General features: G+C 42.3%; 1 protein-coding gene and 1 pseudogene across 1 annotated transcript; one reads left to right on the top strand and one right to left on the bottom strand.

Moving 5' to 3' along the window:
* The first annotated feature begins 2,028 nt into the window (after positions 1-2,028).
* Positions 2,029-3,130, top strand: SSU72L4 (SSU72 like 4). The gene has a single exon (NM_001414001.1). It carries the CDS (start codon positions 2,131-2,133, stop codon positions 2,713-2,715), a length of 585 nt encoding a protein of 194 aa, NP_001400930.1. The 5' UTR covers positions 2,029-2,130; the 3' UTR covers positions 2,716-3,130.
* On the bottom strand, positions 10,922-11,517 carry SSU72P6 (SSU72 pseudogene 6; annotated as a pseudogene).

Below are 12,873 nucleotides of genomic sequence, written 5' to 3'. Positions count from 1 at the left end.
CCAACCTGCTGATTCCAGTTCAGAGTGGCAGGTGGCTGGAACCTATCGGCAGCTCAAGGTGTGAGGCAGGAACCAACGCTGGACAGGACCCCATCCGGGGCTCAGGGCACACCCCCATACTGGGACCATAGAGATGTCACTTCATCTAATGTGCACATCTTTGGGATGTGGGAGGAAACAAGAGTATCCAGAGAAAAACCACAAAGACATGGGGAGAATATGCAAACCCCACGCAGACATTGGCCTGCCAGAAGTCAATTTTTTAAGTTAATATTATAATAAAATGATATTATTTGAGGCTGGACACAGTGGCTCATGCCTGTAATCCCAGCACTTTGGGAGACCAAAGCGGGTGGATCACTTGAGCCCAGGAATTTGAGACCAGCCTGGGTAACATGGTGAAACCCCACCCTCTACAAAAAAAAAAAAAAAAAAAATTAGCCAGGCGTGGTGGTACACACCTGTAGTTCCAGCTACTCAGGAGGCTGAGGTGGGAGGATTGATTGAGCCCAGGAGTTTGAGGCTGCAGTGAGCCATGATGGCACCACTGCACTCCAGCCAGGGTGACAGAGCAAAACTGTGTCTCAAAAAAGAAAAAAAAAAAAAAAGATGTTCTTTGACAACCTGCTGTATTTGCCATGTAAGAATCACCTTAAGAGGGACATAGAAAAATACAATATGTTCCTTTATAGATAGATTTTGTCCCTGCATCAAGGACAAAAGTGATGTCTCTGATCTGATTTATATTGAAATAAATGTGAGCTATACATACATTTAAGAAGGATTACTAAAAACAAGTAAAATTGGGCCGGGTGAGGTGGCTCATAGCAGTAATCTCAGCACTTTGGGAGGCCAAAGCGGGCAGATCACTTGAGGTCGGAAGTACAAAACCAGCCTGACCAACATGGTGAAACCCCATCTCTACTAAAAATACAAACATTAACCGGGTGTGGTGCCGCGTGCCTGTAGTCTTCAGCTACTTGAGAGGCTCAGACAAGAGAATCCCTCGAACCTCGGAGGTAGAGGTTGCAGTGAGTCGATATTGTGCCACTGCACTCCAGCCTAGGTGACAGAGCGAGACTCCTCAAAAAAAAAAATTATTATTTACCCAATATTTGGTAAATCAGTGAGCGACAGCAAACAGAGCGCACCTATAAATCAATCCTGACTGGGTGGGGCCACCTTTGTGGAGAGTTACTGAATTAGGAATTTAATCATTTTGATTGTTCTTGTAATTACTTAGCGGTCCATTATCATAATCTAATCAATCTAAAAGTGACATGATTATCTTATTTTTTGAAACCCCATTCATAATTTTAAAATCTCCTTTATCTTGATAAATTATACAACTATGAAAAAAATTCTAAACATTGCATTTAAGTATAGAAAAGCACAAACACAGCTGTACTTGGAGGCAGAGGATTGCATCAATCCCTGCATTCCCTGAAGAATCGTTATGATTTCAGTAATATCAAATGCAGAAAATGTTGTGTTGAATAACTCTTAAGATACCATAAGCAGATATGTTGTTGAGAATGGGATTTTTTTTGTATTGGTGAAAAATTTTGTGAATTTCTGGACAAAACTATATACAATGGTCCTGTGATTTATGCAATTGCATTTCTCGAACATTATGAAAATTAAAACAAGCAACAACACTTGTAATTTATAATTAAATATGGTGCAGCCTTGCACATCGTGAACATGTTTATCATCCAATTTCATGTCTGGAGGTCACTGGAGAGTCCTGTGACATGCTTGCAGGTAGCTTAATTGTCTTGGCCATTGTCCATAGCAGCCCCCATTCACTAGGAGAACCACCAGAGCAAACTCCAGATTTTAAATGAATCCAGACTGGGTGGTGCCACCTTTGTGGAGAGTTACTGCTTTAGGTAATTTAATCATCTTGATTGTTCTTGTGATGAGTTAGGAGATGATTATCACAACCTAATCAATCCAGAAGTCATGAAGTCTCCACCCACTCATTAAGGTGACTCAATATAAACCTGCCTCCTGTGCCTCCACATTAGCTCGTTTGGAAGACCTGGGTATAGGTGGTCGTCTCCTCGGCTCCGAGTCCCTGCAGCAGCTGAGGTGCCTGTGTCTCTCTGGTTCCCAGTGGCCGCCATCATGCTCTCCTCCACACTCAGGGTGGCTGTGGTGTGCGTGAGCAATGTCAACAGGAGCATGGAGGCCCACAGCATCCTCAGGAGAAAAGGGCTAAGTGTCCGGTCTTTTGGAACTGAATCTCATGTGAGGCTACCAGGACCAAGACCCAATCGTCCTGTAGTTTACGATTTTGCAACAACATATAAGGAGATGTACAATGACCTCCTCAGGAAAGATAGAGAACGCTACACCCGCAACGGAATCTTACACATCTTGGGAAGAAATGAGAGAATCAAGCCCGGTCCAGAAAGATTTCAGGAGTGCACTGATTTCTTTGATGTCATCTTCACCTGTGAGGAGAGTGTCTATGACACAGTGGTGGAAGATCTGTGTTCCAGAGAACAGCAGACCTTTCAGCCTGTGCACGTGATCAACATGGACATCCAAGATACCCTGGAAGATGCCACCCTGGGAGCTTTCCTCATCTGTGAGATTTGCCAGTGCCTGCAGCAGTCAGACGACATGGAAGACAATCTGGAAGAGCTGCTGTTGCAAATGGAGGAGAAGGCAGGAAAAAGCTTTCTTCACACCGTCTGCTTCTACTGAACATCTGGGCTGGCTTTGTCCCCTTCCTCAGTAAGAACTTAGGCATGGGACTTTAGTCCGGATTTATTGTGAGAAGCATCTGCAAAGACCTTCCACTGAGTACTGTTTGTGTGACTTTTGTACACATCACCTGGAAAGAGACTATTACCAAGAAAATATTTTATGGGAAATGAGAAGGACTAACATTTTTAAAAGCACTGAAAAATGGTTGGCATTGTGCTAGGTGCATTACATGGCATAACTAATTTCATGCTTATATCATTCTACAAGAAAGCTAGCCCACCATGACGCCATTTTCCAGATGAGCAAACCGAGCTGATAATGGACTGCTGGAAAAATGATTTGTTTAAGGGTATTCAGCAGATAAATAACATTGTATAGATAAGCACCTTTTAAATAAACTTCCTTTTCTCAATTTGAGTGGTTTTTTTTTAATTTTTAAATTTTTTAAGTTAGTTGAGACCAGTGAAGTGTGGTATGTTAACTTAAATGTTGTTCTTCTTTAATAAGAGTATAATATTACATGTTTGAACAGATAAATGTTTTTACATATAGATTATATCTTTTTTACTAATGCTCACTTTAATGGGTAAAATCCAAGTTGGATAATGAACTACATATGATTGTAAAATTTGGAATTATCTGCTCAAATCATAGGTCATCAAATTAAATGAAATAAAAAATGTAAATAAAAAGCATATTCTTATTTCTGTTTAGGGGATACATTTCAAGCCACTAAGTGACATGCTTTTGTTTAAACCTTATGAATTTCACTGAAAAAAAAAAAACCCAAGTTGGATAACAAACCACAGATTATCGTAAAATTTGGAATTATCTCCTCAAATAATAGGTCACCAAATCAAATAAAAAATTTTAAAAAAGTATATTCTTATTTATGTTGGGGGATGGATTTCACACCACTAAGCCACATGTTTTTATTTAAGGCTTACAGATTACAGTGAAATAAGCAATCTCTCATATTGAGAGATTCAAATTGTATTAAATTGAAAATGTTTATTGATTTGAGCATTGAGAACATCAGGTGATAAACCTAATGATGTTTTCACGGAGAAACAAGTGAAACACTTTCCATAATCCTTGGTAGTGGCACTAAAACATGTTCACTAGTAGGAGAAAAAATAGATCAGAAGTAGTTGTTCAGAGTTGAATTAATTTACATGTTATCTACTGAATTAGACTTATTATGGCAACCTAAAATAACAGCAGAGATTAGCTTTCCAAAGATAATGAGTTTATTTAAACGAAGGATTGCAAACAGGAATGCACCAGGTGTAACAAATTGTAGGTGCATCCTCAGAGGTTGAGGTAAGGGGAAACTTTTAAAGGCAAAAAGAAGTCCACAGAAACTACTTTAAAACAAAGTTTATTGGTCACAGAAGCTGACTGCAGGAGTTGGCGTTAGCTTCTTGGTGGAGACAGCCATTGCTAGGCGTGTGTTCTTGCGAGAACATTTTATGTGGAATGCTGCAGTCTTGAATATAATGCAGTTATAGAAATACGTGTGAACATGCAGAATGAGCAAAGTGTGTAAGACCTGCTGATTGTGTAAAGCATGTAGGATGTGCCATGATCTCTTGTGGGTTTTAGGGAGTCGTGATAGCTCTTATCTCAGATATACAGGCATGTGCTCCCCTGCTTCATGACCCTCCAGCTCCACTTCACCTGGATCTGACGATAGTGGACTTCATCTTGGTAGTAACAACTTTCACATTTTTGGTATCAGAAACTTTCAAAGTTGTAAGAAAATATTCTTTTTCCTCTTGCAGTGTAGGTAGCAGGAGGCAAGTGGAAGTGGGGAACCCAGCTGGTACAGTAGTTCGCAGAGGAGAGGTTGGAAGCTTGTGGGAGGGAAGTGTCTGTCAAAAGGCAGAAGAATGGACACATTGGAGAGGGATGTTAGAGCTGACATGAGAGACTTCTTGATGAGAAAAGGAGGACTTTTGAATCACTCTCAGATTTCTGATTTTAAGGGTGGCTTGGTCCAAATATATAAGTGAAAGTTTTGGTGGTAGGGCAGTGTGGTGTTTCCTCACTGACAGTTTATCTCTATTCTGTCAATGTGGCTTAAGATAAGGCCATCAGCTGGCAGTGGGCAGTCAGGATCATGATTGGGGATGGGGTGAGGATATTTGGCATAGATAATTGTTTTAAAATATGGGAATACAAACCTGAGTGTAGTTTTTTGTGAGAGCTCTTCTGAAGATAAAAGTGAGACTGTCCCATAGATACTACTTTTTCCAGCCAATCCATTTGGAAAAACATGACAAGGTGGTTGAGTTTCTCTTTTCTGTCTGTTTGGACATGGACAATGCAAATGTGACAGAAGAGCAAGGTGCAGAAATGCTTCAGGAGTTTGAAAGGGTGTAATTATAGTGATAAACGATGAAACCTGGTTTTGGACCAGAAAGGGTGAATAAGTAGGGATTGGGCTGGAATCCATGGGTTGTGGCACAATGCATGGTCAAACAGCCCTTATAGTTTAAATAAAGAAGCAAAAGTGAATGGAAAGATGTGGTCTTATAGTTGGGGCATGACTGTTTCAGATTTTGATCTAGTGGTGAGGTTCTTGATGACTATGACCATGGGTATCTCTGGTGGGGTGTAGACAAGTGCAATTGGAGAAGAAGTGAGAGTGTTGAGGGTGCTGGGTGGATAATCTGTGTGGATGCTGGAATTGCTAAGAACTGTGGCAGTAGTCGGTTGTGAGGAAGCATGAGAAGTGAGAGCTTATATAATCACTAAAAATCAAGGGTGTGGGAAGTATGGGGCACGATGATATGTTGGGCAGATATGGTAAGAAGACTTTCTAGGTTGTTGAACACCTCTAGTATTGGTTTATTGGGTAGAGGGAGGGGAGCTCTGATTGGAAGTCGTAATGGTGACCTCGCGTATCTGACTATATACTATGTAGAGTGGGAAATAAAGACTTAGATTTACTGTAATGAAAATACAATGATTTCTTGAGGAAGTAGCCAGAGAAAGAGGCAAATGGGTGTTCACATGGTTATTGAAGATGAAAAATGACATTTGGATACAAATTTCAGGAAGATTTGAGGATGAATCTGAACTATAAAAGTGAGTTGTGCCAGAAAGAAGGATATTGTGATAAGGACCAGTCAAATGAACATTGCTTTAGGTGTGTCTGACAAATTTCTATTTCTTGATTACATGATGTATGCCTTATAATAATTTCTTAAGCAACTCCTTTATTTTTGTTTGGTTTTCTGTATTTGTGTATGTGTGTTTTTTCTTCCGTTTTAAAATTACCATAAGAAGACTAACAAAACACTCAAAAAATGAGGGAAATACTTTGTTTCATAAAAAAACTTAACATTATAAGTATGTTAATAGCTTTATTTGTAATTGTTTTATTTCCTCTCTTTTACTTCCTCTCCCTCCTCACTTCCCACGTCCAATCTTCTCATTCTCCTTCTTCTTCTTCTTTTTTTTTTTTTTTTTTGTATTTATTGATCATTCTTGGGTGTTTCTCAGAGAGGGGGATTTGGCAGGGTCATAGGACAATAGTGGAGGGAAGGTCAGCAGATAAACATGTGAACAAGGGTCTCTGGTTTTCCTAGGCAGAGGACCCTGTGGCCTTCCACAGTGTTTGTGTCCCTGGGTACTTGAGATTAGGGAGTGGTGATGACTCTTAATGAGCATGCTGCCTTCAAGCATCTGTTTAACAAAGCACATCTTGCACGGCCCTTAATCCATTTAACCTTGAGTGGACACAGCACATGTTTCAGAGAGCACGGGGTTGGGGGTAAGGTTATAGATTAACATCATCCCAAGGCAGAAGAATTTTTCTTAGTACAGAACAAAATGGAGTTTCCTATGTCTACTTCTTTCTACACAGACACCGCAACAATCTGATTTGTCTTTCTTTTCCCCACATTTCCCCCCTTTCTATTCGACAAAACCGCCATCGTCATCATGGCCCATTCCCAATGAGCTGTTGAGCACACCTCCAAGACGTGGTGGTGGCCTGGCAGAGGCGCCCCCCACTTCCCAGACGGGGCAGCCGGGCAGAGGCGCCCCCCACTTCCCGGACGGCGCGGCTGCCGGGAGGGGCTGCCACCCACCTCCCTCCCAGGAGGGGCGGCTGCTGGGCGGAGGGGCTCCTTACTTCTCAGAAGGGGCGGCGGGGCAGAGACACTCCTCACCTCCCAGACGGGGTGGCGGTCGGGCAGAGACACTCCTCAGTTCCCACACGAGGTCACGGCCTGGCAGAGGCGCTCCGCATATCTCAGACGATGGGCGGCCGGGCAGAGACGCTCCTCACTTCCCAGACCGGATGGCTGCCAGGAAGAGGCGCTCCTCACTTCCCAGACTGGGCGGCCGGGCAGAGACACTCCTCAGTTTCCAGACGGGGTAGCGGCCGGGCAGAAGCGCTATTCACATCTCAGATTGGGCGGCTGTGCAGAGGGGCTCCTCACATCCCAGACGATGGGCGGCCAGGCAGAGACGCTCCTCACTTCCCAGACGGGGTGGCGGCCGGGCGGAGGCTGCAATCTCGGCACTTTGGGAGGCCAAGGCAGGCGGCTGGGAGGTGCAGGTTGTAGCGAGCCGAGATCACGCCACTGCACTCCAGCCTGGGCAACATTGAGCACTGAGTGAGCGAGACTCCATCCGCAATCCCGGCACCTTGGGAGGCCGAGGCGGGCAGATCACTCGCGGTCAGGAGCTGGAGACCAGCCCGGCCAACACGGCGAAACCCCTTCTCCACCAAAAAACACAAAAACCAGTCAGGCGTGGCGGCGCGAGCCTGCAATCCCAGGCACTGGGCAGGCTGAGGCAGGAGAATCAGGCAGGGAGGTTGCAGTGAGCCGAGATGGCGGCAGTACAGTCCAGCCTCAGCTTGGCATCAGAGGGAGACCAGGGAGAGGGAGAGGGAGACCGTGGAGAGGGAGAGGGAGAGGGAGAGCCTCCTTCTTCTTCTTCTTTTTTGAGACAGAGTCTCGCTCTGTTGCCCAGGCTGGAGTGCAGTGGTGCGATCTTGGCTCACTCACTGCAACATCCGCCTCCCATGTTCAAGCAATTCTCCTGCCTCAGCCTCCCAAGTAGCTGGGAGTACAGGTGCACAGCACCACACTTGGTTAATTTTTGTATTTTGGATTACTGGTGTGAGCCACAGCTCCCGGCCCCATGTCCGATCTACCCCAAGGTCTGACCTGGATTGTGTAATCATCATGTGGCTTGTTTGTGGTTTTACACAAGTCTAATCCATGAAGCAGAGCATGTAATACTTCAAGCTCAGTCTGTTGGTTGAAGCGAGTCGTAAGGCAATGTCCCTGGATAGAAGGGGATGGGTAATAGACTGCACATCATGATGGGGGAATGGCACGAGTGTTCAGCAGAGAGAATGGCTGGCAGCTATGTTAACAGATGCGCAACCATACCTGATAAACTATCAGATTGATAAATGTTCAAAAGCTTGACACTATACCCTGCTGGCAAGTTTGTGAGGGAAAAGGCATGTTTTCCCGTCGTAATGAAAAATGTTACAAGCTCTATGGAGGGCATCTTGAATATCTAATAAATCTAAAAACATGTTTACTCTGTCTTCCAAGTAGCCTTATAAGTAGCTAGGACTCAGGTGTGTGCCACCACACTTCGCTAATTTCTATTTTTAATTTTTTTGTAGAGATAGGGCTTCACTGTGTTGCTCAGGCTGGTCTTGAACTCCTGGCCTCAAGGCGATTCTCCTGCCTCAGCCTCTCAAGGTGCTGGGATTATAGGCATCAGCCACTGTTTCTGGCCTATACATCTCTTTGACCACAGTAATCCTACTTCTAAAAATTAACCATAAGGTCTATCAGCAGAATTATCCAACTGAAGAAGTGAGAAAAAAAGAACAAAAAAGAAAAGAAAGAGATCCTCAGGTACTTGAGGAACAATATCAAAAGGTCTACCAGATGTGTAGTTTGGGTCTCAAAATGAAATGAGAGAAAGAATGGGACTGATTTTTGTTTTTGAGGCAATAATTGTGAAATTATTCAAATTAGGGAAAAAGCTAAAATATTACAGATTGAAAAAGCTCACAGAACTTCAAGGAGGCTTAAAAACAAAGAAAGTTGTATGTAGATGCCTCACAATCAAACTGAAAATTAAGACAAAGGGAAAAAATTTAAATGTAGCCGAAGGAGGCAGGACAGAAAACACTGGTACCTTAGTAGCATCAAGCACACTTGATTTTGATTACTCTCATCATCCTCCAGTAATACAAACAGGATTATTTGGAGAAATTGTTGATTCTGAGGCTGGAAATATATAAGATGAACCTGGGGCATCTCATAATGCCAGAGTGTTTCCTTTTCCATGAAAAATGAAGTAAAACCAAACAAACACCACGATGGGGCACATGAAAGGACCCAGGAGGCAACTGAAAGTGCTTGCGATGGCCAAAACAGAAAGTTTGAGCAACAAAACAAAGCAGGATCGAATTGTAATCCCACATAGAAAAATAAATGTCCAAGATTCCATACTGCTATGAAGAAATAATTGAATAAATTCATTAATGAGGGGGAGAATAGACACATCTGTGAGGAGTAAGTCCATATAATTTAAATGGATAATCCACCCACAAGGAAGTAGGGCACAAGTCCCCACTCCTTAAATGTGGGCTGCACATAGGGACTTTTTCCAAATAGTCCAGCATGGAAAATGGGAAAAAGGGTAAATTCACAGTGGAGAAGGCTGATGAAGTGGAGCTGGAAGGTCATGAAGGAGGGGAGCCCATGCTTGTGTACTTGAGATAAGAACTATCACAAGGACTCTCTAAAACCCACAAGAGATTATGGCACATCTTACATGCTTTGCACCATCAGCAGGTCTTACACACTTTGCTCATTCTGCATGGCCACACATATTTCTATAACTGCAATATCTTCAAGACTGCAGCATTCCAGATAAAATGTTCTCGCAAGAACACATGCCTAGCAATGGCTGTCTCCACCAAGAAGCTAATGCCGACTCCTGCAATGAGCTTCTGTGACCAATAAATTTATTTCAAAGCAGCTTCTGTGGACTTCTTTTTGCCTTTAAAAGTTTCCCCTTACCCTAACCTCTCAGGATACACCTGTGACTTGTTATACCCGGTGTATTCCTGATTCCAGTCCTTCATTCAAATAAACTCATTTTGAGAGCTAATCTCTGCTGTTATTTTAGGTTGCCGTAATAAGTCTAGTTCAATAGATAACATGTCAATTAATTTAACTATGAACAACTACTTCTGATCTATTTTTCTCCTATTAGTAAACATGGTTTAGTGCCACTACCCAGGATTACGAAAAAGTGTTTCAATTGTTTCTCCTTGAAAACATGATTAGGTTTATCACGTGATGCTCTCAGTGTTCATACCAATGAATATTTTGAACCTAATAAAATTTTCACTATGAAAGATCCCTTTTTTTTCAGTGTAATTCATAAGGTTTAAACAAAAGCATGTCGCTTAGTGGCTTGAAATGCATCCCCCAAACAGAAATAAGAATATACTTTTTATTTACATTTTTTATTTCATTTAATTTGATGACCTATGATTTGAGCAGATAATTCCAAATGTTACAATCATATGTAGTTCATTACCCAACTTGGATTTTACCTATTAAAGTGAGCATTAGTAAAAAAGATATAATCTATATGTAAAAACATTGATCTGTTCAAACATGTAATATTATACTCTTATTAAAGAAGAACATTTAAGTTAACATACCACACTTCACTGGTCTCAACTAACTTAAAAAATTTAAAAATTAAAAAAAACCACTCAAATTGAGAAAAGGAAGTTTATTTAAAAGGTGCTTATCTATACAATGTTATTTATCTGCTGAATACCCTTAAACAAATCATTTTTCCAGCAGTCCATTATCAGCTCGGTTTGCTCATCTGGAAAATGGCGTCATGGTGGGCTAGCTTTCTTGTAGAATGATATAAGCATGAAATTAGTTATGCCATGTAATGCACCTAGCACAATGCCAACCATTTTTCAGTGCTTTTAAAAATGTTAGTCCTTCTCATTTCCCATAAAATATTTTCTTGGTAATAGTCTCTTTCCAGGTGATGTGTACAAAAGTCACACAAACAGTACTCAGTGGAAGGTCTTTGCAGATGCTTCTCACAATAAATCCGGACTAAAGTCCCATGCCTAAGTTCTTACTGAGGAAGGGGACAAAGCCAGCCCAGATGTTCAGTAGAAGCAGACGGTGTGAAGAAAGCTTTTTCCTGCCTTCTCCTCCATTTGCAACAGCAGCTCTTCCAGATTGTCTTCCATGTCGTCTGACTGCTGCCAGGCACTGGCAAATCTCACAGATGAGGAAAGCTCCCAGGGTGGCATCTTCCAGGGTATCTTGGATGTCCATGTTGATCACGTGCACAGGCTGAAAGGTCTGCTGTTCTCTGGAACACAGATCTTCCACCACTGTGTCATAGACACTCTCCTCACAGGTGAAGATGACATCAAAGAAATCAGTGCACTCCTGAAATCTTTCTGGACCGGGCTTGATTCTCTCATTTCTTCCCAAGATGTGTAAGATTCCGTTGCGGGTGTAGCGTTCTCTATCTTTCCTGAGGAGGTCATTGTACATCTCCTTATATGTTGTTGCAAAATCGTAAACTACAGGACGATTGGGTCTTGGTCCTGGTAGCCTCACATGAGATTCAGTTCCAAAAGACCGGACACTTAGCCCTTTTCTCCTGAGGATGCTGTGGGCCTCCATGCTCCTGTTGACATTGCTCACGCACACCACAGCCACCCTGAGTGTGGAGGAGAGCATGATGGCGGCCACTGGGAACCAGAGAGACACAGGCACCTCAGCTGCTGCAGGGACTCGGAGCCGAGGAGACGACCACCTATACCCAGGTCTTCCAAACGAGCTAATGTGGAGGCACAGGAGGCAGGTTTATATTGAGTCACCTTAATGAGTGGGTGGAGACTTCATGACTTCTGGATTGATTAGGTTGTGATAATCATCTCCTAACTCATCACAAGAACAATCAAGATGATTAAATTACCTAAAGCAGTAACTCTCCACAAAGGTGGCACCACCCAGTCTGGATTCATTTAAAATCTGGAGTTTGCTCTGGTGGTTCTCCTAGTGAATGGGGGCTGCTATGGACAACGGCCAAGACAATTAAGCTACCTGCAAGCATGTCATAGGACTCTCCAGTGACCTCCAGACATGAAATTGGATGATAAACATGTTCACGATGTGCAAGGCTGCACCCTATTTAATTATAAATTATAAGTGTTGTTGCTTGTTTTAATTTTCATAGTGTTCGAGAAATGCAATTGCATAAATCACAGGACCATTGTATATAGTTTTGTCCGGAAATCCACAAAATTTTTCACCAATACAAAAAAAATCCCATTCTCAACAACATATCTGCTTATGGTATCTTAAGAGTTATTCAACACAACATTTTCTGCATTTGATATTACTGAAATCATAATGATTCTTCAGGGAATGCAGGAATTGATGCAATCCTCTGCCTCCAAGTACAGCTATGTTTGAGCTTTTCTATACTTAAATGCAATGTTTAGAATTTTTTTCATAGTTGTATAATTTATCAAGATAAAGGAGATTTTAAAATTATGAATGGGGTTTCAAAAAATAAGATAATCATGTCACTTTTAGATTGATTAGATTATGATAATGGACTGCTAAGTAATTACAAGAACAATCAAAATGATTAAATTCCTAATTCAGTAACTCTCCACAAAGGTGGCCCCACCCAGTCAGGATTGATTTATAGGTGCGCTCTGTTTGCTGTCGCTCACTGATTTACCAAATATTGGGTAAATAATAATTTTTTTTTTTTTGAGGAGTCTCGCTCTGTCACCTAGGCTGGAGTGCAGTGGCACAATATCGACTCACTGCAACCTCTACCTCCGAGGTTCGAGGGATTCTCTTGTCTGAGCCTCTCAAGTAGCTGAAGACTACAGGCACGCGGCACCACACCCGGTTAATGTTTGTATTTTTAGTAGAGATGGGGTTTCACCATGTTGGTCAGGCTGGTTTTGTACTTCCGACCTCAAGTGATCTGCCCGCTTTGGCCTCCCAAAGTGCTGAGATTACTGGTATGAGCCACCTCACCCGGCCCAATTTTACTTGTTTTTAGTAATCCTTCTTAAATGTATGT

The sequence above is a fragment of the Homo sapiens genome, chromosome 11 (assembly GCF_000001405.40).
Source record: "Homo sapiens chromosome 11, GRCh38.p14 Primary Assembly".
Lineage (NCBI taxonomy): Eukaryota > Metazoa > Chordata > Mammalia > Primates > Hominidae > Homo > Homo sapiens.
This window is presented reverse-complemented; position numbering and strand designations above follow the sequence as displayed.